The sequence below is a fragment of the Homo sapiens genome, chromosome 16, assembly GCF_000001405.40.
Source record: "Homo sapiens chromosome 16, GRCh38.p14 Primary Assembly".
NCBI lineage: Eukaryota > Metazoa > Chordata > Mammalia > Primates > Hominidae > Homo > Homo sapiens.
In genome coordinates, this window is record NC_000016.10 from 22,302,908 (window position 1) to 22,330,208 (window position 27,301).

The 27,301-nt window shown below is 53.6% G+C and overlaps 1 protein-coding gene across 9 annotated transcripts in view, besides 2 other annotated features; it reads left to right on the top strand.

Annotated features, from left to right (window-relative positions):
* The window catches only part of POLR3E (RNA polymerase III subunit E), a 37,688-nt gene that overhangs the window by 5,499 nt on the left and 4,888 nt on the right, over window positions 1-27,301 (top strand). For 4 of the 9 annotated variants that reach the window (NM_018119.4, NM_001258033.2, NM_001258036.2 and 1 more), the window contains exons 2-19: window positions 24-97; window positions 2,249-2,299; window positions 5,241-5,318; window positions 6,018-6,133; window positions 6,521-6,603; window positions 10,713-10,820; window positions 11,172-11,221; window positions 12,182-12,301; window positions 13,694-13,779; window positions 14,088-14,132; window positions 14,208-14,299; window positions 15,919-16,039; window positions 19,943-20,024; window positions 21,447-21,506; window positions 21,596-21,753; window positions 22,298-22,359; window positions 22,854-23,371; window positions 25,603-25,680. In NM_018119.4, the coding sequence (NP_060589.1) occupies window positions 62-97; window positions 2,249-2,299; window positions 5,241-5,318; window positions 6,018-6,133; window positions 6,521-6,603; window positions 10,713-10,820; window positions 11,172-11,221; window positions 12,182-12,301; window positions 13,694-13,779; window positions 14,088-14,132; window positions 14,208-14,299; window positions 15,919-16,039; window positions 19,943-20,024; window positions 21,447-21,506; window positions 21,596-21,753; window positions 22,298-22,359; window positions 22,854-23,371; window positions 25,603-25,680 (1,944 nt within the window). In that variant the 5' untranslated portion in view covers window positions 24-61. Of the gene's footprint in view, window positions 1-23; window positions 98-2,248; window positions 2,300-5,240; window positions 5,319-6,017; window positions 6,134-6,520; window positions 6,604-10,712; window positions 10,821-11,171; window positions 11,222-12,181; window positions 12,302-13,693; window positions 13,780-14,087; window positions 14,133-14,207; window positions 14,300-15,918; window positions 16,040-19,942; window positions 20,025-21,446; window positions 21,507-21,595; window positions 21,754-22,297; window positions 22,360-22,853; window positions 23,372-23,763; window positions 25,681-27,301 lie in introns of those variants that run through there. The other 5 variants (NR_047581.2, XM_011545892.3, XM_011545893.4 and 2 more) reach the window with 5 other exon arrangements.
* Window positions 18,805-19,352: an enhancer, noted in NCBI's record as "H3K27ac-H3K4me1 hESC enhancer chr16:22333033-22333580 (GRCh37/hg19 assembly coordinates)". NCBI's record gives its function as "activates a minimal SCP1, AML or CMV promoter by ChIP-STARR-seq in naive H9 embryonic stem cells {active_cell/tissue: H9 hESC(naive)}" and the evidence as "EXISTENCE:reporter gene assay evidence [ECO:0000049][PMID:30033119]".
* Window positions 19,353-19,902: an enhancer, noted in NCBI's record as "H3K27ac-H3K4me1 hESC enhancer chr16:22333581-22334130 (GRCh37/hg19 assembly coordinates)". NCBI's record gives its function as "activates a minimal SCP1, AML or CMV promoter by ChIP-STARR-seq in primed H9 embryonic stem cells {active_cell/tissue: H9 hESC(primed)}" and the evidence as "EXISTENCE:reporter gene assay evidence [ECO:0000049][PMID:30033119]".

Below are 27,301 nucleotides of genomic sequence, written 5' to 3' on the forward strand. Positions count from 1 at the left end.
CAGTCTCTCGCCCTCCTTTGCAGATCGAGCTGAAGGACTGCGCGGCTGGCTCTCCTCTAGTATGGCCAATGAAGAGGATGACCCAGTTGTACAGGAGGTAACTGCTGCTCTCTGTCCCCTGCCGCCGGGGCTACAGGCAGTGGAATTGGGTCCTTTCCATGTGTCCTCAGGCCAGTCTGGGACCTGTTGATGTTCTGGGACCCCTAACCCTTGCTGTTCCCTCTGCCTGGTCCCCTCTGCTGTCCCCCAGACCCCTGCGTGGCTGACCTCTCCCTTCCTTCAGGTCTCTGATCTGGCATCACCTCATCAGGGAGGCCTTCCCTGACTGCCCTTCCACACCCAGCTCCCCTCCTGCACCCTCCCGTGCCTCTCTCTGCCCTTACCTTGGCGGTAACTCATACTTGGCCTAGCCCCCGTCATCCCCTAGATATCAGTTGATTGCTTTCTTTCCCGTCCACTGCTGTGCCGCAAAGCCGAGTATAGTGCCTGGCACCCAGGTACCCGGCGACTATTTGGTGAATGAATGAATGAATAAATGGGCTCAGCAGTCCCTCCTTCCCAGGCTTACGCAGATGTAGTCATTCAGCAGCTGTTCACTGGACCACTGTGTGCTGGGGGCTGTGACACATCAGTGAGCAGGGCAGGGTCCCCTTCCCTGGGAAGCTAATGGGCTGTGGGCAAGACTGATGAGGCAGGAGTCTCCGGGTACAGGCAGTGGGAGGCAGATTTCCCTTTTTTTTTTTTTTTTTTGGAGACAGAGTCTTGCTCTGTTGCCCAGGCTGGAGTTCAGTGGTGCCATCTCGGCTCACTGCAACCTTCACCTCCCAGGTTCAAGCGATTCTCCTGCCTCAGCCTCCTGAGTAGCTGGGATCACAGGTGCCCATCACCACGCCCGACTAATTTTTTTTTTTTTTTTTTTTTTGAGGCGGAGTCTCACTCTGTCTCCCAGGCTGGAGTGCAGTAGTGTTATCTTGGCTCACCGCAGTCTCTGCCTCTGGGTTCAAACGATTCTTGTGCCTCAGCCTCCTGAGTAGCTGGGATTACGGGCGCCCGCCACTACACCTGGCTAATTTTTGTATTTTTAGTAGAGATGGGATTTCACCATGATAGCCAGGCTGGTCTCGATCTCCTGACCTCAAGTGATCACCCACCTTGGGCCTCCCAAAGTGCAGAGATTACAGGCATGAGCCACCATGGCCGGCACAGGTTTCCCTTCTTAGAGAAAGCTGTTGATAGTCAAACTCACCTTTCAGAATCCTTTTAACCCAGGACTTAGACCTTTGGAAGGCAAAAGGCAAAAAGTAACTGCATCTGCCTTCAGCCTCCTTATATGCGGAGCCTGACCTCCAGTGGGAAGGGCAGGGGCAAGGAGAAGGTCCTCGGAGATGAATAGAGGTGGTTTTTCCTTGCTTGGGGGATGTTGCTAAGTTATTAGATGTGAGTTATTTAGATGCATTTAAGCTGCATCTACACTGCAGTAGCAGGAGTTACAACAGGGGGGTTGGTGATGGGATAGAAGAGTCCAAGGGACTCCGAGGACAGAGGCAGTGCCCTCTGCAGCCAGGGGGCCTGGAATGCTTCCTGCCCAAGTTGTGCCTCAGCCAAGTCCTTGGAGGAGCGAGCAGTCAAGGCTCAGGGGAGGCATGTGTGAAGGGCTCTGTAGGTATAGGGAAAAGCATGTGCAAAGGCCCAGGGGTAGGAGAGCATGTGGTTTATAGGAGGAGTTAGGAAGCAGGAAGGTAAACTGCTGCGTGGCGGGGTGGGGGTGGTTAGTGTTGGGAAGAAAGGAAGTGGAGCCATCAGTCACAAAGGGCCTTGCAGACCCCTTAAGAAGGGGTGACAGGCTGGTCCAGGAGGGGCAGGTGGAGGGCCCAGCCAGGAGGCACAGGCCTAGGTGAGCCCTCGCCTGCCTGCCTCTCAGAAGAGCATTTGCCCAGGCTGTAGGACGTTTCCCGATCAGTGCAGCCCCAGGGAAGATGTGTGCTTACTGGGGGATTGTGAACTTGGGTGGGGGTACCAGGTGAACTCTTGCCCTGGTTCCCCTGGGAGCTTTCAGGAGGGATTCCTGAATATACCCAGTGTGCAGCCTTGGATCCGCTTGCTTTTAGCATGAGCTGAGCTATTTCCTCCTTCCCCAAACTGCTTCCCTGAGCCACTGCCCTTAACTGAAGCTGGAAGCGCTGGCATAGCCCGGGGAGGTCAGCACTGTGTCCAGTCTCCCGGTTAAGTCGTCTTCCCTTCTTCCCAGATCGATGTGTACTTGGCCAAGAGTCTGGCGGAAAAGCTGTATCTATTTCAGGTAATTATGGGACTTGAAGGTAAAGAGGGGAGAAGCAGGTGTGGGTGGGTGGTGTGGACTCAGGAACACGGGCAGGAAACGATGGGAAACCTCAGCTAGGGTTCTCGGTGTGGAGAGTGTCATGGGGTCTCTTTGCTTTCGTGGGTGGGTTAATATTGGTCTCATTTCAAAGATGGGAAAACTGAAGGAACACAGGAGAGGCAGAAGTGTGCAGCAGTTAAAGCTGGGGCTCTGGGGTCAGACCGGATTGAGATCCAACTCCATCACACCATAGCTGCGAGACCGTGGGCAAGTTTCTTAATCCTTCTGTGCCTCACTTTCCTCACTTGCAAAGTGGTGATGGTGATAATGCCTGCCTCATAGGTCCCCAGGAGGACAGGCTGAGTCCACAGTGAAGTGTTTAGGATGCCGCCTGGCAGAGAGTTGGTGCCAGTGATGATGGCCGCTGTTGTCATGGAGGCTCCAAGGGGCAGCTCCATGGCAGCGTCTGTGAGCCCTCAGTCCTGCCAGCTGCGAGGGCCCCGGGTTGCTACCTCTGCCCCCTCCCCTTGCTGCTGGGCCAGCAGCTTGTCATTGTGGCCAACATGTATTGAGCATTGACCGTATGCAGACTGTTGAAAGCATTTACCTCAGTTACCTCTTTAACCCCACAATAACCCTATGGTGGTGATTATTACATTTTATAACCGATATATTGAGATAGAATTTACACACCACACAGTTTCCCCATTTCAGTGTGTAATGCAATGGATTTTAGTCTACTCATGGGGCTGTGCAACCAGCGCCACAGTCTGTTTTGGGACAGTTTTGTCCCCCTTTAAAGGAACCCCTTGCCTATTAGCGATCAGTCTGTGCCCCCCATTCCCACCTCCAACCCCAGGCAACCATTCCCCTTATTTTCTGTTTATGGTTTTGCCTATTCCGGACTTTTCACATAGCTGGAATCATGCAGTATGTGGCCTGCTGTGATTGGCTGCTCTCACTTTGCATGATGTTTTCAGGGCTCATCCACATGGTAGCTATAGCCTGCATCAATATTTGAGCTTTTCTTTTTTTTGTTTGTTTGTTTTGAGACACAGTCTTGCTCTGTTGCCCAGGCTGGAGTGCAGTGGCTTGATTGCGGCTCACCACAACCTCTGCCTCCCAGGCTCAAGTGATTCTGCCTCAGCATCCTGAGTAGTTGGGACTACAGGCACGCGCCACAAGCCCGGCTAATTTTTGTATTTTTAGTAGAGATGGGGTTTCACTATGTTGGCCAGCCTGGTCTCGAACTCCTGACCTTGTGATCTGCCTGCCTCGGCCTCCCATAGTGCTGGGATTACAGGTGTGAGCCACCGCTCCCAGCCAATATTTGATCTTTTACTGATGAATAATGTTCCATTGTATGGGAGACCACAGTTTGTTTATCCATTCATCAGCTGATGGGTATTTGGGTTATTTCTACTTTTTGGCTATTATAAATAATGCCACTGTGGACATTCACATAGAAGTTTTTATGATGAACGTGAATTCTCATTTCTTCTAGGTATATGCCTGGTAGCAGAATTGCTGGGTCTGCGTTTAGCTTTTTGAGGCACTGCTGGGCTGCTCTGCCCCATGTTGCCTTCCCACAGTTAGAGTCAGTGTTCATATCCCATGATGCACATGAGAACGTGAGGCACAGGGAGGCCTTCACGGGCACGGAGGCCTGGGGCATGCCACAGCAGCAATGTTGTAAGCCTGTGCTGGGAGGGCCTGGCCTCCACTCCCTGGGGTTCACCCTTATGGGCCGTGGGAATGGGGCCTGTCCTGTGTGCCTGCTCACCCTGTTTCCTTGACTGGCTGCAAAGTGATGGTGGAGGTGCCAGTGACCCCCGTGTGTCCAGAGTTCCAAACCCTGAGCCACCATCGGCTCTGTTTGCCTCCTCCGTGCTCACAGCGGCCTTGGGAGGTGAGGATGCTTAGCCTCAGGGAGGCGAGGTGCCTGCCTGAGTCCACAGTTAGCAAGGGGAAGGATGAGGACTGGAAGCCAGGCCTGTGATTTCAGAACCTGCGCCCTTCAGCCTTCCCACCCCCAGTCAGGTGATCTCAGAACTGCCCCCAGCCCCAGCCCAGGAAGCAGGGAGGAGTCACGGCTTTGCTGTGTGAGTGAGCTTTTAGGAAATGACCGTCTCCTTGCGCTAGAATGTAGCTGATCTGAAAGGGCCTATTTTCCGCACTGCCATACCTCCACCAGGCTCATTCTACAGGCTGTCATGAGACCAGGCAGAGCTTTTGAGGAGGGGTCCAGACTTTGACTCCTTCACCTGAGAGAGAGAGGGACAGTGTACTGTGAGGACAGATGTGGACAGGAGCCCCTGCGTGTTGAGCGCATTGCTGTGTGAGCCATTCACATAAAGATAAGAGCGGGCCATGGCTGCCTGGCTCCCTTTTCCAGCATCTTGTGAGGAAGCTCACACAACCAGATAAGGAGAGCGAATGGATTCACGAATTCCCACCTGCCCGTCGTCTGGCCTCAGCAGTGAGCAGCACGTGCCGGTGTTGCTTTCACTCTTTGCTTCCTCATGGACTCCTTTTGGTCGTCCTTCTCTCCCCGGATGGCCTGTCCACTGGTAGTTAGGCCCTGGACCCCCATCCTCACCTCCCATGGCCGTGCTCTGTGGGTTCCTGGAGCAGCAGCGTGCCGGTTTGGGTTCCTGTGTGTAGACACGTCCCTCGGAAGTCAGAGACATCCTGCAGTGGCCCTTTGGAAGGAGGCCGTGGGGAGCTGATGAGAATAGGGCTGCGGGTGGAGACTGGCAGGGGTGCCTCATGGTAGGGCTGGGCAGCTTGTACCCTTGTGGTAGGGTAAGGCCAGTCTCTGCTTGGGGTGGGCTTGGAGATAGCTGTTGATTCTTGGCCAGGGCCCAGCTCTGGGCATGGCTGGGCAGAGTGGACTTAATGGCTCCCTTCCCCTCCCCAGTACCCTGTGCGTCCAGCCTCGATGACCTACGATGACATTCCGCACCTCTCAGCCAAGATCAAGCCCAAGCAGCAGAAGGTGGGGCTGCCCCCTGAGGGCAGTTGGGGCCGAAAGAGAGGGTGATGAGGGTGGGAGCTGGTGGAGGCGAGAAGCTCAGAGAAGGAGTCATTGGAGAAGTAGGAGAACCAGCAACTCCCAGGCCCTTGAAAGCTGAAGAAGGAAAGTGTCCAGAAAGACAGGGATGGGCAGCTCCAGAGAGGCCAGGGACGCATGAGGCTGATGAATGAGAGAATGGGGCCAGATGTGAGCTTAGGTTCCCAGGATAAGACGAGGGCGGGCGGGTGAACATGGAGTAGGTTTGATGGGAAGAGAATCTAGCGCCTATCCATGGAGGGTCTGCAGCTCTAGCCCCTCCAGCCACATGGAAGTGCCATCCCAGTATTGCCAGTTCTGCTGGCTTTTCAAGAGAAGTGGGAAATAAGGATTTTTATGAGAAATCTCTTGATTTTTAAATGTTGGCACCTAATTTAGGTCTTTGGGAGTGAAGTAGAGGACAAACAAGATTACAGGACTCTCCACTTCCTTCTGACATTTTTGTTGGAATTTGGGTTTGTGACCCTTGGTGTGGACTGAAGTCCAGGGGCCCTTGGGGACATGTGTCAGTCTCGCTTCCGGGCAGGGTCCTGGTTAGGAGGTGGCCATGGTGGGGTTGGGGTGTCCCTTGAGGAGCCATGCCTTGGGGTCCTCATAGCTGGTGGGGGTGCTTGGTGCCTCCAGGTAGAGCTTGAGATGGCCATCGACACCCTGAACCCCAACTATTGCCGCAGCAAAGGGGAGCAGATTGCGCTGAACGTGGACGGGGCCTGCGCCGACGAGACCAGCACGTATTCCTCGTGAGTTTCCGGCCCCAAGCCTGTCCGGTTTCCCTGCGTTCACACAGGAGCCTCCAAAAGACCTTAAAGACATTGACCCCCTTTGCCCCGTCACTGGGCTCCCCACCAGTGTCCCAGCCTTTGGAGGGCTGGGCCTGTCTCAGACTCTGCCCTCCTGAACTAGCTGGTCCCAGAGCTCCTACCCACTCCTCGTCTCTTGGTCTACAAACAAGGCCATGGGTTTTCTCATCCCCAGGCTGCCCTCCTGAGACCCGCGTAGGCTGCCCTGCGGCCTTGGTCCCTGGCTGTGGCACTTCAGAAAGTGTCTAGGGGGTGGGGTGCGCTGTGGCCACAGGCCCTGGCTCGGAGCTGCCTTCCCCTGTGACGTTGCTTCTCCCTGTGCTCCAGGAAGCTGATGGACAAGCAGACCTTCTGCTCTTCCCAGACCACCAGTAACACATCCCGTTATGCCGCTGCACTCTACAGGCAAGGTACCCGGGGCTGGGTGTCCCGCGGTGGGGACATGGCATTGGGGGGGGCTGGGCAGGGAGAGTACCTCCCCAGCCTGGTGTCCATCTCCCACCTGCCCTGAAAGCTAGACACCTGTGGGGGCCGGGCAGGTGTGGAAATAACAGAAATGACACATTGTCAGGGGACTGGAAGTGGCCACCTTTGTGGACTGCTGGCTGGACACTGCCTGACCAGATGGGGTGGGGCTCCAAGTTCATTTGTCCTCCCGGGACACAGATACATACAAGTAGCTAACATAAGTTTAGGGACAGAATTTTGTCTTTAAATATGAAGCTTATGACAGAGCAATTCCATTCCTAGGCAGCATCTATCCAAAAGAAATGAAAACATGTGTCCACACAAAACCATACACAGTTGTTCACAGTAGCATCTTCATGATAGCCAAAAAGTGGAAACAACCCAGATGCCCATCCGCTGGATTCATGGAGAAACAGAATGTGGTCCATTCACGCAATGGGATGTTATTTGACCATGGAAAAGAATGAAGCAGTGATGCTACCACGCAGATGAGCCTTGAGAACATTGTGCTAAGTGAAAGAAGCCACATGCTTCTTCACTCGCAGCTACGCGCTGTGTGATTACGTCTCAGTCAGCGACCGACCACATACTCAACGGTGGTCCCATAACATTATAATGGAGCTGAAGAATTGGCTTACCTAGTGATGTCTTAATGAGCCTGACCCTGTGTAAGCCTAGGCTAACTCGTATGTTTGTGTCTTAGGTTTTTGCTTGTTCGTTTGTTTTGTTTTGTTTTGAGACAGAGTCTCGCTCTGTTGCCTAGGCTGGAGTGCAGTGGCACAGTCTCGGCTCACTGCAACCTCTGCCTCCTGGGTTCAAGCGATTCTCCTGCCTCAGCCTCCCGAGTAGCTGGGATTACAGACATGCACCACCACACCTGGCTAATTTTTGTATCTTTAGTAGAGATGGGATTCTGCCACGTTGGCCAGGCTGATATCAAACTCCTGACCTCAGGTGACCTGCCCACCTCGGCCTCCCAAAGTGCTGGGATTACAGGTGTGAGCCACCATGCCCGGCCTGTGTCTTAGTTTTTAGTAGAAAGTTTAAAAAGTTTAAAAAAAAAAAAAAAAAGGTAAAAAGCATATAGCCGGGTGTGTTGCCTCCTACCTGTAATCCCAGTGCTTTGGGAGGCCGAGGCAGGCCCAGGAGTTCCAGACCAGCCTGGGCAACATAGTGAAATCCCTTCCCTACAAAAAATACAAACATTAGCTGGGCATGGTGGCACATCCCTTAGTCCCAGCTACTGAGGAAGCTGAGGTGGGAGGATTGCTTGAGCCTGGGAGGCGGAGGTTGCAGTAAGCTGAGATTCCGCCATTGCACTCCAGCCTGGGCAATAGAGCAAGACTCTGTCTTGAAAAAAAGCATATACAATAAAGATATATTTTTCATAAATTTATTTATTGATTTATTTTTTGGAGAGGGAGTCTCACTCTGTTGCCCAAGTTGGAGTGCAGTGGCTCAATCTTGGCTCACTGAAACCTCTGCCTTCCGGTTTCAAGCAGTTCTCCTGTCTCAGACTCCCGAGTAGCTGGGACTACAGGTGCACACACCACCATGCCCAGCTAATTTTTGTATTTTTAGTAGAGACAGGGTTTTTGCCATGTTGGCCAGGCTGGTCTCGAACTCCTGACCTCAGGTGATCCACCAGCCTTGGCCTCCCAGAGTGCTGGGATTATAGGCATGAGCCACTGTGCCCAGCCTTTTTTTTTTTTTTTTTTTTTTAATAAATTTAGTGTAGCCTAAGTGTGCAGTCTGTATGAAGTCTACAGTAGCGTGTAGTAATGTCATAGGCCTTCACATTCACTCACCACTCACTCATCCAGAGCAGCTTGTCCTATAAGCTGGTTTTAGTCTTTTATACTATACTTTTACTGTACCTTTTTTATGTTTAGGGTTTTTTGGGTGTGTTTTTTTGTTGTTGTTTGTTTTGGGGTTTTTTTTTTGGAGACCGGGTCTCACTCTGTCACCCAGGCTGGAGTACAGTGGTGATCATAGCTCACTGCAGCCTCTATCTCCTGAGCTCAAGCAATTGCCTTCCCTCAGTCTCCTGAGTAGCTAGGACTACAGGCCATGCCACCACATCTGGCTAATTTTTTAAAAAATTTTTTGTTGAGGTGGGGTCTTGCTATGTTGCCCAGGCTGGTCTCGAACTCCTGGGCTCAAGCGATCCTCTTGTCTCTGCCTCCCAGAGTTCTGGGATTACAGATATGAGCCACTGCACCCAGCCTAGGTATATTTAGATACACAAATACCATTCTGTTACAACTGCCTACAGTATTCAGGGGAGTAACATGCTGTACAGTGTGTAGCCTGGGAGCAATAGGCCATACCATAGAGCCGAGGCGTGTAGTAGGCTCTGCTATCTGGGTTTCTGTGAGTGCACTCTGCGATGTTTGCACAACGATGAAATCACCTAAGGATGAATTTCTCAGAACGTATCCCTATTGTTAAGTGATGTGTGGCTGTATGTGAAATGTCCAGAATAGGCAAATGTACAGAGGCAGAAAGTAGATTAGTGGCTACCAGGGACTAGTGGGAGAGTGGAGTGGGGACTGCCTGGTTCTTTTTGTGGTGATGAGAATGTTCTAAAATTGGTTGTGCTGGCTGCACAGCTTTGTGAATACGTTAAAATACATTGAATTATGGCCGGGAGTGGTGGCTCATGCCTGTAATCCCAGCACTTTTGGAGGCCGAAGTGGGCAGATCACCTGAGGTCAGGAGTTCGAGACCAGCCTGGCCAACATGATAAAATCTCATCTCTTCCAAAAAGTAGAAAAAATTAGCCAGGCGTGGTGGTGAGTGCCTGTAATCCCAGTTATGCAGGAGGCTGAGGCAGGAGAATCGCTTGAACTCAGGAGGCGGAGGTTGCAGTAAGCCGAGATCGCACCACTGAATATCCTGGGCAACAGAGTGAGACTCCATCTCAAAACAAAAATACATTGATTAGTATGCCTTAAATGAGTGGACTATATGGTACGTGAGTCTTGTCCCAAAGCTGGTAAAAAGTACAAGGCGCGGCCGGGCGCAGTGGCTCATACCTGTAATCCCAGGACTTTGGGAGGCCAAGACGGGCAGATCACAAGGTCAGGAGATCAAGACTATCCTGGCCAACATGGTGAAACACCATCTCTACTGAAATACAAAAAAATTTAGCTGGGCTTGGTGGCACACACCTGTAGTCCCAGCTACTTGGGAGGCTGAGGCAGGGGAATCACTTGAACCGGGGAGGTGGAGGTTGCACTGAGCCGAGATCATGGCACTGCACTCTGCACTCTGGCCTGGGTGACAGAGCGACACTCCATCTCAAAAAAAAAAAAAAAAAAAAAAAACAGTAAAGTGCTTAAGTATTTAGTCTCAAAAGCAATGAACGAAACTAATCTGAACACTTAGGAAACAAAATGGGATAGGATCAAAAGTAGTGTCATATAACTCGCGCGTTCTGTTTAGAACCCATGTCTCAAGCATGTAATTCTTGAAAGCCACATCCCTTGCAGCGGGAGGGAAAGTCATGATCTTTATCAGAGGCCATGTGGACACTCCACCCAGTTCTAGCAGGGCCTCTTCTCCAGCCACAGTGGCACTAGTGGACTTCCTAGTGGAACGGGTGGGATTTTGGCGGGAAAAGATGGAGGATAAGAAGGAGAGGAAATCCAGGTGTGTGGGGCGGGACAGTAAGGCTGAGCTGGCCGAGGCCTGGAGGGTAAACAGCAGGGCGAATTTGATGAGGATTAGCTGCCTAGTGTTGCAAAGCGAGCAGCTGGGGAGAGGGGCGTGGAACCAGACTGGGAGGTGGGACTGAAGGAAGTGGCTTCGAACAGAAGAGTCCAGGTTCCTGTCCTAGTCTGGGCTGTGTGCTTGCTGTGTCCAGCAGGCCAGGTGGAGGTGGGGATGGTCCCTGGCCTGGTGGTCCCAAGACTCTAGGATTGGGGGCTGCAGCGGGAATGGGAGGCGGTTTGATGGTGGGCCTAGGCCTTCACGGGACTTGGTGACTCTCTTGAGCCAAACTGGGTGGGTTTCTAGAGTTGAGTCCAAGCCCTTCTTCCTCCGCCAGGTGAGCTCCACCTGACACCTTTACATGGCATCCTGCAGCTGCGGCCCAGCTTCTCCTACCTGGATAAGGCTGACGCCAAGCACCGGGAGAGGGAGGCGGCCAACGAGGGTGAGCCCGGGATCCCCAGCCCTGCTGCCTGCCTGCCTTCATCCTGGTGGGATGGCTTGGTCCTGGGAAGAGGGATGGGATGATAGGATGTTTAGCAGGATCCCTGGCCTCTACCTACTAGATGCCAGAAGCACCCACCCCACAGTCGTGACAATCAAAAAGGTCACATTGCCCAGTATCCCCAGGGTAAAGGGGCAAAACTGTCCCCGATTGAGAACCACTGGCTTAGGCAGCTCCCTCTGCGAGGAGAACTCCCAGCACCCCGGCCTGAGGCTTCCCTGGCGGGTGGGGTTGAGAGAAGGGAGGTGGAGGCTCCCCAGGACTGCAGTCAGTGGCTTGTCTCTCTTGCAGCAGGGGACTCTTCACAGGATGAGGCGGAAGACGATGTTAAGCAGATCACGGTGAGCCCTGGCCCCTGGAGGAGGAGGGTGCTGCCTGGGCGGCAGCAGGACCAGAGACCAAGGGGTAGCGGGTCTTCACAGAATGCAGGTGGAGCAGACAGGGCCCATGCTTTTGAGCCTTCTTGCTGGGCTACCTGGAGGGAACAACCTGAGTTGTTCCAGCTATACACAAGATGGAAGCCCTGGCTGGATCCAGGAGATGTGTGCCTGGGGCTTGGCTAGAGTCACCTGGGAGCAGGAAGCTGGGGCCAGGAGCCCTGAGGACCCGCAGACCAGCTCTGCCATGAACCTGTATCTTAACAGAGCCAAAGTCAATTAACTGTGATTCTATCCTCTTTATGGGGCACGGATGAATAGTTTTCGTTTTAATAGTTATTCCTGAATTTTAAAGATTTTTCAAAGAATCTTAACCTTCCATTTATGGTTTGTAAAGTTTTCCCTATTTAAGCATATTTAGATTAAAATGAGTAGTACCAAAAGAAAAATGCTACACGTAGAATGATGATACACAAGTATGGCTAGAGAGTGGTGAGTGTTTGGAAGCCCTTGAGGACCGGGGAACACGGGCGTAATGGACATGGAGGTGGCGCAGGGAGCTCATCCTGTTCTCTCCGTAGCTTATTAGGACCTTAGAAACTCCCTTCCGCTCTGGGGAACTTAGAAAAGGCATCCTGGGCCTGTCTGCTTTAAGGACTCTGCTGGCTCTGGCGCCTGGGACTCTAATCCCCCTCAAGCCTCTGGGCTGGGCAGGCACGAGCAAGTATAAGCCGTTCCCTGGCGTGTGCAGGCAGCTCTGGGAGGGACACGGTTGGAACGGAATTTAAACGACCTGTGCTAGGAAAGGAAGGGAGAGTGGAAAACCCCTATACGGAGTTCTCTGGTCTTCTGGCAGGGGCTGAGACGGCAGTCCAGCAAGGGTCACAGGCCTGACGGTATGACCTCTTCCCCTTCCCACCGCAGGTGCGGTTCTCCCGGCCGGAGTCAGAGCAGGCCCGCCAGCGCCGTGTGCAGTCCTATGAGTTCCTGCAGAAGAAGCACGCAGAGGAGCCCTGGGTCCACCTGCATTACTATGGCCTGAGGGTGAGCGGGGCTTCGTGGGGTCCTGGGGGAAACACCTCGGTGCCCGGAAGGGTCATGGTGTGGCCTCCGTGTCTCACCTTGAACTTAAGTCAAATTCATGAGTCATAGCCACAGATAGAGGATCGAGTCCTGTGGGCAGTTTACACTTCACTCCAGCCGAGCCACTTAGCGTGGGCCCCAGGAGAGCAAGAGGAAAAGATGCGAGTCCTTGGTTCCCTGGGTGGGGTTTGGCCCCTGGGCATGGGCATCTTGCTGGGCTTGCAGTGGGGCTAGTGCCTGGTAACATATTTTCGCTGCAGCCCAGGCCCTAAACGCAGGCCAGATGCATTCTCCGGTTCTGTCCTAGAGGGTCGGTCATGTGTTGCCACCCCAGAGTTCCCAGCACCACCTGCCCAGGGGATTTTCTTACTGTGCTTGGTTTTCATCTGGTACGCTGACTTTATTTACTTTTATTTTTATTTATTTATTATTTATTTATTTATTGAGACAGTCTCATTCTGTCACCCAGGCTGGAGTGCAGTGGCTCGATCTCAGCTCACTGCAACCTCCGCCTCCCGGGTTCAAGTGATTCTTCTGCCTCAACCTCCCAGGTAGCTGGGACTACAGGCACCTGCTAATTTTTTTGTTTTTGTTTTTTTAGTAGAGATGGGGTTTTGCCATGTTGGCCAGGCTGGTCTCGAACTCCTGATTTCCAAGTGATCTGCCCACCTCAGGCTCCCTAAGTGCTGGGATTACAGGCGTGAGCCACGACCACCTGGCCCTGGTGCATTGATTTTAGAACCTAACCCTTGAAACTGTGTACTGAGTGAGGGATGCTTCCAAAGACACCATGGGCCAGGGCTCCCAATATTTTCTGGGGTGGGGAACAACTCCTGATTTCTCTGGAACCTTCTTGGAAGAGATTTGTGTTAACAGACCCTTAGACTCGGGGTCAAACTTCTAGACACTGCTGTTTCCTGCTGTGTGACCTTGGGCATGTTAGCTAACCTCTCTGAGCCTCAGTTTTCTTAATTATAAAATGAGAGTAGTAATAATAGTACCTACCTTGCCAAGTTATTTTGAGGGTGAGATGGGTTAGTATATTTACAGTCAGTGGAACAGAGTCCACCACATCCTAGATGCCCAGTGAATGTTAGCCATCATTTTGTCATTGCTGGTGGTGTACCTGTGTTACAGACAAGGCATCGAGGCTTGGGGGCTGGGGCTGGGCAGGTCATAAGGCCAGGAAGATGAGTGGCTGAGGCCACGTCAGAGGCCTTGGGTGCCGTGCTCAGGAGGTTGGATGTGGTCCTGTGGCTGGCCATGGAGTGGAAGACGGGAGGCCTTGGGGGAGGGGGCCCAGGCCAGGGCCATCAGCTGAGGCTCCTCTCACACCCTGCCCTCCTCCAACAGGACAGTCGCTCTGAGCATGAGCGTCAGTACCTGCTGTGCCCCGGCTCAAGCGGGGTGGAGAACACGGAGCTCGTCAAGTCACCCAGGTGGGATGGGCTGGGCCAGCATGCAAACTGGATGCCTGCCCAGGGTCCCCAGGGGTCCTTGGTGTGGATCCTCCCAGAGGACTGTGGCCCCTCCTGTAGCATGAGGGTGGAGCCCATTGTCCCCTGGAGAAGGCCAGGAGGGTGGGCCTGGAAAGAGATGGTCCACTTTTCTGCAGGGGCTCAGGGCTGCTGGGGGAGGGCGGGGGTGGGCTGTCTGCACCCTCTCCCCAGACCCTCACTTGGGTGGCTGGTGAGGAGGGTCCAGCCTGGATCAGCCCTGAGCCTCTGCCCCTGCCATGTCCCTGCAGTGAGTACCTGATGATGCTGATGCCACCCAGCCAGGAGGAGGAGAAGTGAGTAGAGGCGGCAGGACACCCTCTCCCTTTCCGGGCTGGCTGCCTCTAACCCGTCCCCTCTGCTTTTCCCAGAGACAAGCCTGTGGCCCCCAGCAACGTCCTGTCGATGGCCCAGCTGCGCACGCTGCCCCTGGCCGATCAGATCAAGATCCTGATGAAGAATGGTGGGTGCCTACCCCCTGCCCACCCGGGGGCCCCAGTCCCAGTGGCTCCTGAGGAATGGACTCTGTGGGACAGTGAGGACCAGGGGACAAGGCCAGAGGCCCCTGCTGCCCACAGCCTGCCCAGCTTTGCAGCTGCATCCTTGTCTGGAAAGATAACGCAGGACGGCAGTGCGGCCAGCTCCCGCAGGCAGCCCGGGTTCCCGTGAATGTAGGACAGTAGTGTGTCTGGCCCCCACAGGCGGGCTCGGGTTCCTGTGCCATGCTCACCACTTGTCTGCCATGCTCTTGGGCAGGTCATGAACCTTTCTGAGGCTTTGTTTGTTTTTCTGTGAAAAGAGACTAATGATAGTTCCTGGGGGCCAATGTGAGGAATCAGAGAGAGGAGGCTTCTAAAGTACAGGGCCTTGCAGGCGAACACGGACTAGGGGCTTTTTGTTGTTGTTGTTGTTGTTGTTGTTGTTTTTTTTTTTAAGGTTTTTTTAAAGGTTTTAAAGGTTTTTTTTAAAGGTTTTGCTGTGTAACTCCTGGGCCCAAGTGATCCTCCTGCCTCAGCCTTCCGAGTGGCTGGGCCTACAAGCAGACGCCATTCACTGCACCGGCTCAACTAGGGTCATTTTCATGACAATGTCTTCACTGGCATTGCTTCTGGGTACTCTTGCCAGACCTGGCACCATAAGGACTGGTCTCCTTTTCTCAGAGGACTCTGAGTGCCAGAACCTTTAGGGTACCCGTGGCTGGTGAACAACAGACCTGATCCTTGAGTTCAGAATGGAGCCGCAGAACCTGGGCTCGTCCTTTGAGATGCCACCATGAGCTCTTAGGAGTCTAAGGAGAGAGGGGAGCTCCATGATATGCTCGGGATTTTAGGCTTCCTTCCTGCAGAGGACTTCGAACTTTTTTTTTTTTTGAGACAGTCTTGCTCTGTCACCCAGGCTGGAGTGCAGTGGCACAATCTCGGCTCACTGCAACCTCCGCCTCCCGGGTTCAAGCAATTCTCATGCCTCAGCCTCTGGAGTAGCTGGGACTACAGGTGCCCGCCATCACGCCCAGCTAATTTTTGTATTTTTAGTAGAGATGGGGTTTCGCCTTGTTGGCCAGGCTAGTCTCAAATTCCTGGCCTCAAGTGATCTGCCTCCCTCGGCCTCCCAAAGTGCTGTGATTACAGGTGTGAGCCAAAGCGCCCAGCCAAATTTTGGACTTTCCCTGGGCCCTGCCCAGGGCTCACTTGGGCGGGAGCAGAGCACAGTGATTGAGGGTACCAAGTGGAGCCAAGTGGCTTGGGTTCACTTCCTGGCTCTGCTACTTCCTAGCCAAGAGATCATGGGTGAGCTTTGAAGCCTTTCCAGGTCTGAGTAGTAATAGACCCTTCCTCCTGAGGCACCCCTCAAGTCTTCCTTAAGGGGCACTTCATATAATCCTCAGATTTCATGAGGTGCCCAGTGCCTGGCATGTAGTGAGCAGCCTGAGAGTGTCAGCTGTTGGCTATGATGGGTGTCATTACTGTTAGTTATCACATTCTGGGGTTATTACATGAACTTGAAGCTATGCGGACTCTCGGTGGAGGGGAGGGAAGGGCCCGGCCCCTCTTCCTTGTCTGATGTCTCCTGCGTCCTCCTCAGTGAAGGTCATGCCTTTTGCCAACTTGATGAGCCTCCTGGGCCCCTCCATCGATTCCGTGGCTGTTCTGCGGGGCATCCAGAAGGTGGCGATGTTGGTCCAAGGGAACTGGGTGGTGAAGAGGTAAGTTGCTTTTTTTATTTTTTATTTTTATTTATTTTTTTCCTTGAGGCAGAGCTTCACTCTTGTTGCCCAGGCTGGTGTGTAGTGGCGCAATCTCGGCTCACTGTAACTTCTCCCTCCCAGGTCCAAGCAACTCTCCTGCCTCAGCCTCCTGAGTAGCTGGGATTATAGGTGCCCGCCACCATGCCCAGCTAATCTTTGTGTTTTTAGTAGACACGGGTTTCACCATGTTGGCCAGGCTGGTCTCGAATCCTGACCTCAAGTGATCCACCCACCTCGACCTCCCAATGTGTTAGGATTATAGGCGTGAGCCACCGGGCCCGGCCTACGCTGTATTCTCTTAATGGGAGCATTTGGTCCTTTTAAATTTAATGCAGTTACTAGTGCTTTGGGTTTAAATCTACAGTGCTTTCTATTTGTCCTGCCTACATTGCATTTAAACTGTTTTTTGTTTTTTTGTTTTTTTTTTTGAGACAGAGTCTCGCTCTGTCCCACAGGCTGGAGTGCAGTGGTGCGATCTCGGCTCACTGCAAGCTCTGCCTGCCGGGTTCACGCCATTCTCCTGCCTCAGCCTCCCGAGTAGCTGGGACTACAAGGCACCCGCCACCACGCCCAGCTAATTTTTTGTATTTTTAGTAGAGATGGGGTTTCACTGTGTTAGCCAAGATGGTCTCCATCTCCTGACCTCGTGATCTGCCCGCCTCGGCTTCCCAAAGTGCTGGGATTACAGGTGTGAGCCACTGTGCCTGGCCGCATTTAAACATTTTTTAAATTGACACATAATGTACATATTTATGGGGGCAGTGTGAAATCTAAATACATGTATACAATGTAATGATCAAATCAGGGCAATTAACATATCTATCCCCTCAAACATTTCTCATTTTTGTGTTGGGCACATTCAAACTTCACTTTTCTAGCTATTTAAAATTATACAATAAATTGTTCTTAATTATAGTCACCCTGTAGTACCCTTTGTCCTGCCTACATTGGATTTTTATATCATTCTTACCATCTGCTGGATTCATTTCTGTTTCTATTTTTTCCTGCTAACTTGGAAGTTACACTGTTTGGGCTCATATATTGATTACCCTACAGTTTTCAGCTTACATTCATGACTTAACACATTTTAATGTTAATTGCTGCTTTTTACCCCATTCCAATCTATTCAGAGATCTTAGAATATTTTATATCTATCCTCATACTTACACACTGCTAGATTGGTATATATATATTTTTTTACCTTTTTAATTTGCCAATCTTCTCTAGTGTTCCAATTTTAGTATATGTACTGCCGAAGAGAGCACAGGATTGGTGTATTTTTATTTTTTTTTTGAGATAGTCTCTCTCTCTTGCCCAGGCTGGGGTGCAGTGGCACAGTCTCAGCTCACTGCAACCTCTGTCTCCCGGGTTTAAGCGATTCTCCTGCCTCAGCCTCCCAAGTAACTGGGATTATAGGCGCTTGCCACCACGCCCGGCTAATTTTTGTATTTTTAGAAGAGGCAGGGTTTTGCTGTGTTGGCCAGCTGGTCTTGAACTCCTGACCTCAGGTGATGCACCCATCTCGGCCTCCCAAAGTGCTGGGATTACAGGCGTGAGCTACCGTGCCCGGCCTGGTGTATTTTAATTCTCTGTATGTTTTCAGCCCCATAAGACATTACTGTATCCAGTCAATCAATATTCTTTACTCGCATGTTTATAATTTAGTCATCATTTCTTTCTGCATCTCTAAGTTTCTATCTGGGATCATTTCGTTCTGCCTAAAGAATGCTATAGTATTTCCTTTAATGTGGGTCTGTTGGTGATGCATTTCCTTGGTTTTTGTGTGTCTGGAAATGTCTATTTCACCTTTGTTCTAGAATTCTAGATTGGTGGTTATTTTCCTTTCCACGCGTTGATATGATTTTGTTGTGTTCCGACTTCATTGTTTCTGTTGGCAGTTTTGTTCTTATTCCTTTGAAGGCAGCCTGCCTTTGTTTTCCTCTGGCTGCTTTTAGGAGTTTCTCTGTTTTTGGTTTTCTACGGGTTCGTTTAGATGTGTCTTTAAGTGTGAATTTTTTACATACTCTGCTGGGGATCACAGGTCTTGAGCGTGGGGCTTGATGCCTTTCAGTGGTTTCTCTTCGGCGAATCCTCCCCTAGACCATGTGCTGCCTCCACGAGACCATCAGTTTCAAGGGATTAGGGATGTCTGTTTTGACTCCTGCTTTATGTTCCCAGTACCCGGAATAATGCCTGGATATTACCAGTGCAGACCCTTGGTAAATAATGTGGCTACGTTTTACTTGAATTATATTGATTCTGAATGATGTAGCATTAATTGCATTAATAACTCACTTTTTAAGTAATGTAGTTTAAGGTGAGCAATGTGACAAAATGTGAAATGTTGAACATTTTAAGAAAATACAATGCCTTGAAAGCTCCTCATAGTTGTAGAGTATATTCGTGTTACTGCCACCTGGTGGCGCCCTTGCACTGCTCCACAGGTGCCCAGCGCAGTTTGTCAGCACCTTGCGGCTGTTGTCCTTTGTTACACGTTTTCATCATGGAAGGCTTTTGCAATGGCGCATCGCGTATTACATAGGACCACGTGTGTATATTTACACCATAAGTGAATGAAAGCCAAGAGGGGTCCTCCCGTCACACACCTGAGGACACTGGCCCAGAGAGGCATGGGACTTGCCAAAAGTCTTGCAGCAAGGCAGCCGCAGAGCCCTGTTAAAACCTAAGCCTCATGGCTCAGCCCTGGGCTCTGCACCCAGCACTGCATGTGTCCCCTGGAGGTGCTGCCCCTTTTAGTTTCGCCCTGTCCTGGGGACTGGAAGGTAGGGACTTGGGGACTGTGGGCATTTCACCTGCCCCGGCACTTCTGTAAGCCCTACTCTGCTGCTGCCCATGCTGCCATGTCAGGGGCCCCTGGGTGAGGGTCCTGTGTGTGCCTGTGAGGAGACAATGCAAAATCCATGCCTCCATTCAGTCACTATGGCTAGACTGCTCGTTCTGTGCCATGGACCGGGCTCTCATTCAGACACTGCCCCTGGGGATGGCGGCTGTTACATTTGAGCTCCCTGAATGCAGAGATCATGGCATGGACCAGGTTTGTTTGGTCAGCACACACTTAATAGGTACCTTCGCTGTGGTGGCAGCGATGAGCCACATCGGCAGAGTCCGTGTCCCCACAGAGCGTGGCCTTGCAGGATGAGTGACAGTTGGTTGCCAGGTGGACCTGAGCAGGGGGAGGAGGAGGGCTTGGCAGCAGAGGGAGGGACAGTCAGAGCACAGGTGCCGCAGCAGGGGCTGAGCCGGGGTTGCAGGGCCTGTGGCTGGAGCTGGGTCAGGGCTACACTCTGGAGATTCTCGTGCCCTGCTGTCCAAGGCCCCGGCCTTTCCTCTGAAGTTCCCTGAACCTTGAGTGCTGAGCCTGTTCTCTCCGAGGGCTAACATGCCTCCCCTGCCTCTGACCTCGGTTCATGCCCACCTGCCCCTTTCAGCAGGTGGCCAAGGGCTTGCAGATGGCTTCATCCCTGGTTCTCTTGGTGTCACGTGCAGGGACCAGTTGTCTTCCAGAGTCCTGGGCTCCTTGAGGTCCCGGGCTGTTCCTCACCTTGTCTGTCTCTGAGCCCGTGACCTCTCCCTGAATGTGCAGGGGTCTTAGGATGAGGCTGGTGTGCATGGCGGGTTGAGGGGTAATAAGAGGAAGAACTGGGGGGATGTGTGGGGTAGAGGGGTGCTTCTTTCCCATGTCTGTGTTCACAGATGTGGCTCCTAAGGGGAGGTCTTGGGGCTCAGGCCTGTACCCAGCCCACGGTGGAAAGAAGCATGGACTGGGGCTTGGCCGGGAGGGGTAGCGGTAGAGGGGGCTCAGGGCAGGGACTGACCTGCCATCCTCACCTGCATTGGCAGTGACATCCTATACCCCAAGGACTCGTCCAGCCCTCACAGCGGCGTGCCTGCTGAGGTGCTCTGCAGGGGCCGAGACTTCGTTGTAAGTACCTTGGGTTCTCTGGACTCACGGTGGGGGCGTGGGAAGAGGGGGGCAGCGGTGCAGGGCTTCTGAAGACCGGGGCCCGGCAGAGGCTCCAGGTGGAGGCGGGTGTGTGAGGAGGCCCTGGCCTCTGCCTTTCTCCTCCTTCCTCTCAGAAGCCTGGAGTCTCGGGCTGGAAAGAACCTTCCAGTTCCTCTAGCGCAGTCGGGGGGTGGGTCAAGAAGCACGTTTCATTCGGCCTGAGTGGTGGTTTAGAAATATTGCCTTGGTTGTCAGATTTTATAAATTGAAATTTTGATGTAAAAAAAATCTTGATGCTAGACAGATGTCTAGCTGTCAAGGGTAATTGGACTCCCTGACACCCCTGGGGCCACTTCCCCACAAGGCGCTGGCGGTCTCCAGTTCACCACAGTCCCAGGTGCCTTTGCCTCCCTTGTGCCTGTCCCTGGAGTTTGGGACTCCTGAGCTGGTGTCTCCCTTCTTCCCATCACCCCACCCATGGCCTCCCTCCCAAGGCCTGGAACTCCATGCAGCTGGGAGCCACAGTCTTCCTAGGCTTGGTGCTGGCTGAAACGTGCTGCCCAGGAGCTGTCCCACACCCCTTGGCACGCTGGTGTGCCGTCCCAGTCACAAGGCAGCCCTTAAGCTGAAGGAAGCATCTGCCTCTTCTCTTCCTGAAGGAGCCTCCCCAACTCCTCTGGGCAGTCGGTGTCCAGGTGCCCGAGCAGCATCTTTGCTCCTAGGGGTCAGCATGTAACAATCACCACTCCCAGGCTTGCCTCCCCAGATACAGTGCCGTTTGCCCCCAGCTGCCCCTGCCCGCCCCGCTCCAGTGTGTAGACACTGTCAGAACTGGCGGCTTGGTGGGGGTGTGGTCCAGTCTATGTTAGCGTAGGTGATAGTCATCCATTCCCTGTGTCTCTCAGCCAGCCACCCTTCTCTCTCCCAGTCACCCCACAAATCTAATCAGAGTGCAGGGGAGCTGTTGAGGCAGAGTGGGGGCTGCAGGGGGCTGAGAGCTTCTGGAAGGATGGGCGGCCTCCAACCAGCCATTAGCAGCCACCACTGTGAAGTGCCGCCTATGCAGACAGCGTGTGTCTGTGGGAGCCCCTCCCAGCCCGAGTCCTCATCGTATCCTCGGAGCTGGGCAGGGCATCCCCAGGGAGCGCTGTGGTCTAGGTGGGGTGGGATGGTCCCATGGTCCCCTTGGAAGAGATGGGCCTGGAGCTCCTTTATGGAGGAGAAAAGGAGGGAGGTGCAGAGCTGAAGGGACTGCCTGAGGCCACACTGTTGGGAAGAATCAAGGCCAGGAGCCTAGGACTGTCCCAGGCTCCAGCTCCCAGGCCTGCCAGGTGAGTTCCCGGGACAGTCCTGGGAGCAGTCCGTGGCCGCCCCTGGAATGTGCTGCTTCTTCTCCCTCAGATGTGGAAGTTCACGCAGAGCCGCTGGGTGGTTAGGAAAGAGGTGGCAACCGTGACCAAAGTAAGTGGCGTTTTTGTGGTCTGAGGCCCAGGCTGCTGCTGGAGGGGAGGGGGCTGGCTGTGCCTCACGCTGGGCCCCCTCCCCTCCAGCTCTGCGCCGAGGATGTGAAGGACTTCCTGGAGCACATGGCCGTGGTGAGGATCAACAAAGGCTGGGAGTTCATTCTGCCTTATGATGGGGAGTTCATCAAGAAGCACCCGGATGTGGTCCAGCGGCAGCACATGCTGTGGACGGGTATCCAGGCCAAGTAAGCACCCTGGGCCAGGGAGGGGCAGCCCGGTGATCCCAGCAACCCTGCATCCTGGGGAGCACTGTCAGGGTGGATCCGAGCAATCTCTAGAAACCCCACATCTGGGGAGAGCGCAGTTGGGCTGGATCTGGGTGTGAAGGGCAGGTGGGGGTCCGCAGGCCCCACGCTCCTCACCCACACTGATAGGCATTGCTGGCTGATCCCACCATCCTTTCAGCACAGGACACACAGCCAGTACCTGCTCATCAGGGTGGCCGTGCTCTGAGGGCTCAGGGAAGAGGGATGTGATGGAGAGAGGGAGCACTCAGGAGCAAGAGCTGGGGCCTGGGGACCAGAGGGGTGTTGGCAGAAGACTGATGGGGTCTGGGTGGTCCTGGGGCTGTGCACTCTGCCAGAAGAGGGACTCAGTAGGGCTGGCTGAGCTCCAAGCCTGCGCTGTCAGTAACCAGCGTGTCCTGGGGCCTAAGGGGTGGTTGTTTCTCTTGTGAAGCAGATGGTAGGGGACGTGGTTTAAAGTTAATGGGGTTACTCTTCTTTTCAGACTGGAAAAAGTCTATAATCTTGTAAAGGAAACCATGCCAAAGAAGCCGGATGCACAATCAGGTGTGTGAGGGGCTTTGGGCTGGGAGGCCCCGGCTCCTACACTGTGGCTCCGGAAGGGCTGCTGTGCTAGAGCTTGTCAGGCCCGGACCTGGAGAGGGTGGAGGGCTCTCACCGTTCACCCTTCACCCTCCTTCCTTTCCTGCCACCCACAGACCGCAGCTGGTCGCTTGCCCAGCAGCAGAGCCTCAGGGACGGAGGCTTGCGGATTCCAGGGCTGAGTCTGGGTTCCAGGTCTCTGAGGCTCACTCACCCTCTTGGGTCAACAAGCGGGCCCGGAAGAGCTGCTGGGGGGAGGAACTCAGCAGCACCCTTCCCCGCATGACTCTCGGCACGCTGGGACGGTTCTCTCTTCCACTGATGGGGTGGCTGATTTTCGAGAAAGGTTGGGGATGAGACCAGGACGGGACCACTTGCTGCAGCCCCGCGGTCCCCTGCTGGGCTTTTGGCTTCAGATCCCTGTGCCCTCCTGAGCAGTGCTGCCTCCCTCCCCGCAGGGCCTGCCGGGCTGGTCTGTGGGGACCAGCGGATCCAAGTAGCCAAAACCAAGGCCCAGCAGAACCACGCGTTGCTGGAGCGGGAGCTGCAGCGGCGGAAGGAGCAGCTGCGGGTGCCTGCGGTCCCGCCCGGTGTGCGGATCAAGGAGGAGCCCGTGAGCGAGGAGGGCGAGGAGGACGAGGAGCAGGAGGCGGAGGAGGAGCCCATGGACACTTCCCCCAGCGGCCTCCACAGCAAGCTGGCCAACGGGCTGCCTCTCGGGCGGGCTGCGGGCACAGACAGCTTCAACGGGCACCCGCCCCAGGGCTGCGCCAGCACCCCTGTGGCTCGGGAACTGAAGGCCTTCGTGGAGGCCACCTTTCAGAGACAGTTTGTGCTCACGCTGAGCGAACTCAAGCGCCTCTTCAATCTGCACTTGGCCAGCCTGCCCCCCGGCCACACACTCTTCAGCGGCATCTCGGACCGCATGCTACAGGACACGGTGCTGGCCGCCGGTTGCAAGCAGATACTGGTGCCTGTAAGTAGAGCCCTGCCTGCCAGGGGCATGGGGGGTGGGGGGTGGGGAGAACCAGCTGTTGGGAGGCCACGTGGGGACACGGGAGGCCATGCTTGGTGAGCATCTGCTCTCACGTGGGCCTAGGTGTGACATGGGCAAGTCAGCCTCTCTGAGGCTCTATTCTCATGAAATGGGATCATGTTGGGTTTTATGTCACAGGACTGTGGTAGGGGCTAAATACGGTGTCTGAAGGCCCGGCCTATTGCCTGGCCTGCAGCAGGGCCTAGTGAAACAGGGCCCCTGCCTGGTTTCTCACCCTGTCCCCCACCAAGAACACCTGTTTCCTACTAGCTTTGCCATTGTTTGGAATGATTTAACTTCTAAGATCGTTTGATCTTCTTTGCAATCTGCAGATGAAGAAACTGAGGCTCCAAGGAATGAAATGTACGTTTAAAGGTCACTACCTAGGAGGTAGTAGAGCTGGAATTTGGACCTCAGTATAGTGGCCTGGAGTTTTGAATCCTTTCTGCTCAGCTAAGATGAGCTGCTTCCCCACAGCTGCGCCACGCCCCAGCTTGGGCCTGGGTCCTGGCGGCCTCCCTGTGCATCAGAAGCAAGCTGACCAGCTCAGCGCTGTGCTCTCAGCACTTCCAGTGCCAGGCCTTGAGTGTGGTATTGCAAGCCTCCTGCCCCTTCCCCCTGGGCTGCTTTTCTGTCACTGGGAGGGGCCCTGACGGGGGAGCAGAGTGCTTGCTGGGGACCGTTTCCCTGCGCTGAGGATAGAGAGCGCCAGGTGCTGCCTGAGGCACGCCTTTCCCGTGCTCCTTTTCCACAAGGCTCTGCCCAGACCTGGCAGCAAAATGGGGTGAGGTGGGGCTGTGGTGGTCTCTAAGAAAGCATTGATGTTTTCATTGCCAAGGTCAGGAGCGGGCCTGCAGCCTTGGGTGATGATCTGAGGCCAAGGCCCATCCCTGTGTATGAGGAATAGAAACTAGGACAGGAGGCCTTGTGGAGCCTAGGCTGTCTCAGGGGATCGGCCCTGCTGGCAGGCAGCCCCCTGTGGGAGGTACTGGCAGAGTTCGGAGCTCCTGCCCACCCAGCACATGGGTCTGGGTCTCCACAAGCTCACCTTTCTTCATGAGCTGGGCCAGGACAGGCAGGACACCTGCCTGACATTAGTTGTTTTGGGCCGCTGGAGTGGACAGAGGTGAGGGGTGGGACATGGCCACCCTCAGACACCCTCACCCCTCCTTCCGGACCCCCTCTGTCCATGTTGCTTTGGGGTGGGGCCAGCGTCTCCAGGAGACACCATGGCCCTAACTGTAATGCTCTCCTTGCCATCCTGACAAGGAGACTGTATTGTAGTCACATCCAAGACGTAAGAGACCTCCGATCCCAGCCACCTCTGTGTTGTACATGAGGGAGCTGAGGTCCAGGGCAAGTGAATAGATCGAGAACTTGACTTGAACTCCTGGTTCTGCTGCTTATTAGCTGTGTGACCATGGACAGTGAGCAAACCTCTCTGAGCTTACTTTTCCCCATGTACTACCTCCCCAGTTTCTAATGCTCAAATGCAAATGTGTATTGGAGGCCTCACAGGGCTTTTACTGGTAGTAACCATTATTGCTACTTGTGTGATGGAACCAGGACTGGAAACTACCATCCCAGATGCCCCCTCCCCTGTCCCCTTCTCTCCAGGACCCAGGCCTGTGTCACACTTGTCCTGGTCTACCTTTGGACCAAGTGGCCTGGATTGCTTGGGAGTCAGGCAGTGCCTCTAACCCACACTGACATGGTACATGTGGGAAGCAGTTGAAAAGAACCCCCAGGGTACCCCAAGAGTTATGGGGAAGGGGGCGCCCCTCCATCAGGGTTGGCATCTTCAGGAGGGAGGACTCTGGGTGTTAAAGCACAGTTGAGTTGGTGCCAGGCTGATGGGAAACAGACGCAGCTTCCCCACTGTACGGAGGATATCTGCAGACTCGAAGCCGGGCATTTCACTGGGCCCATCACACTCCCCCTCTCGCTGAAGCCCTGTCAGGCCCTGGGGGGTGTGCTGGCCTCCTCCCCATGGTGAGGTGAGAGGCACAGGTTTGTGGCTGCCCAAGGCCCTCAGAGATGGTGAGTAGCAGAAGCTGGGATTGGAACCCATGTTCCTGCATCTGGGCTGGGGCAGACAGGGAGGGATGAGGCAAGCAAATGGATCCATGGGGTAGAGATGGACAAGCAACTCACCCCTGGGCCTTGGTCAGTTTCCCCCCCAGACTGCTGCTTCCCCGGATGAGCAGAAGGTGTTTGCCCTCTGGGAGTCTGGAGACATGAGTGATCAGGTGAGGTGAACTTTGCTGCCATCTTCCCGAAGAGCCAGGGGGGTTTCCTGCAGCGTTGGAGGCCTTGGGGGACATGTGCACCCAAAGTGCAGCCACACATTTCAGATTTTCTGGCACACTCGGTTTTAAATATCCTGCTCCAACTCTGTACGCTAACAAAATAAGCTGTATGTGCCAATAGTTTGAACCTAAACCAGTGGTTCCCAGATGCCAGTCTGTGAGCCAGCTCCATCAGAATCATCTTTTAAAAAATACAGGCTGGGCGTAGTGGCTCACGCCTGTAATCCCAGCACTTTGGGAGGCCAAGGTGGGTGGATCACCTGAGGTTGGGAGTTTGACACCAGCCTGACCAATATGGTGAAACCCCATCTCTACTAAAAATGCCCATAGTCGTGGGAGGCTGAGACAGAATTGCTTGAACCTGGGAGAGAGAGGTTGCAGTGAACCGAGATTGCACCACTGCACTCCAGACTGGGCGACAGAGCAAGACTGTGTCTCAGAAAGAAAAAAAAAAAAAACATAGATTCAGTTCTGTTCAGTAGGTATGCGGTACTGTCCTAGGTATCTGAATTTCTGTAAAGCTTCCTGAGCAACTCTGATCCAGCCAGGCTTATAGAGCACTGGTGAAGCACATTTCTCAGGCGGCCTCTGGCAGCAGGAATCAAAAGGATTCCTTGTCAGATGTCAGGTCCTGGACTTTTAGGTTAAAGAAATTGGTCATTTTGCCTCTAGTCATACTGTGATGGGGAGGGTCACAGGTGTCCAGTGCCCAGAAATGTGAGTGGAAGCAGCAGCGCCTTGCGTGTGTGTGGTGTAGTCATGGACCCTGCATCCCAGCTTTTCTTAGGCCGTGAACGTACCTAATTTGATGGTCGAAACGCCAGTCGGTCTGACCGTGTCTAGGCCCTGCTCCTAAGGTGTGGGGAGAAGGGAGTCAGCAGAAATCCCACTGAGCTCTCTGTCCCCAGCTGCCTCTTAGGGGAGCCAACTGGCAGGCTGAGGATCTAAGGGGCTGGGGCCTTTTCCTGAGCAAGCTTGAGTGCTTTTGTCCAGAATAGAGGGTATCTGAAATACTTTGATAACAAAAAGGCAAAAAAACAAAAGTCATAAATGCAGATTTTTAAACATCAAATCAGACTAGAAGTTTTAATAGGAAAGCTCTTGCACTGCTGGACCTGACTGCCACCCCTCAGAGGTGACCACTTTTATTACTACTTTTTTAATAGAAACAGGGTCTCACTATGTTGGCCAGGCTAGTCTTGAACTCCTGGCCTCAAGCAGTTCTCCTGCCTCAGCCTCCCAAAGTGCTAGGATCATAGGCATTTACATCACCAAAAGATACCACTAAAATAGCTGCCCCCATTTAAAAAAAAAAATCAGCCTGTCATTAGCAATGGGCTTCCCATTGTGGTGGATGAGATTTAGCTCTCAACTATTTTAGGAGACTGTAGAGATAGATATGTTACGCCAGTTTTTTTTTTTTTTTTGAGATAGATAGCGTCTTGCTCTTGCTCTTGCTCTGTCATCTAGGCCTGGAGTGCAGTGGTGCCATCTCAGCTCACGCCTCTTGCGTTCAAGCGATTCTTGTGCCTCAGCCACCCGGGTAGCTGGGATTACGGGC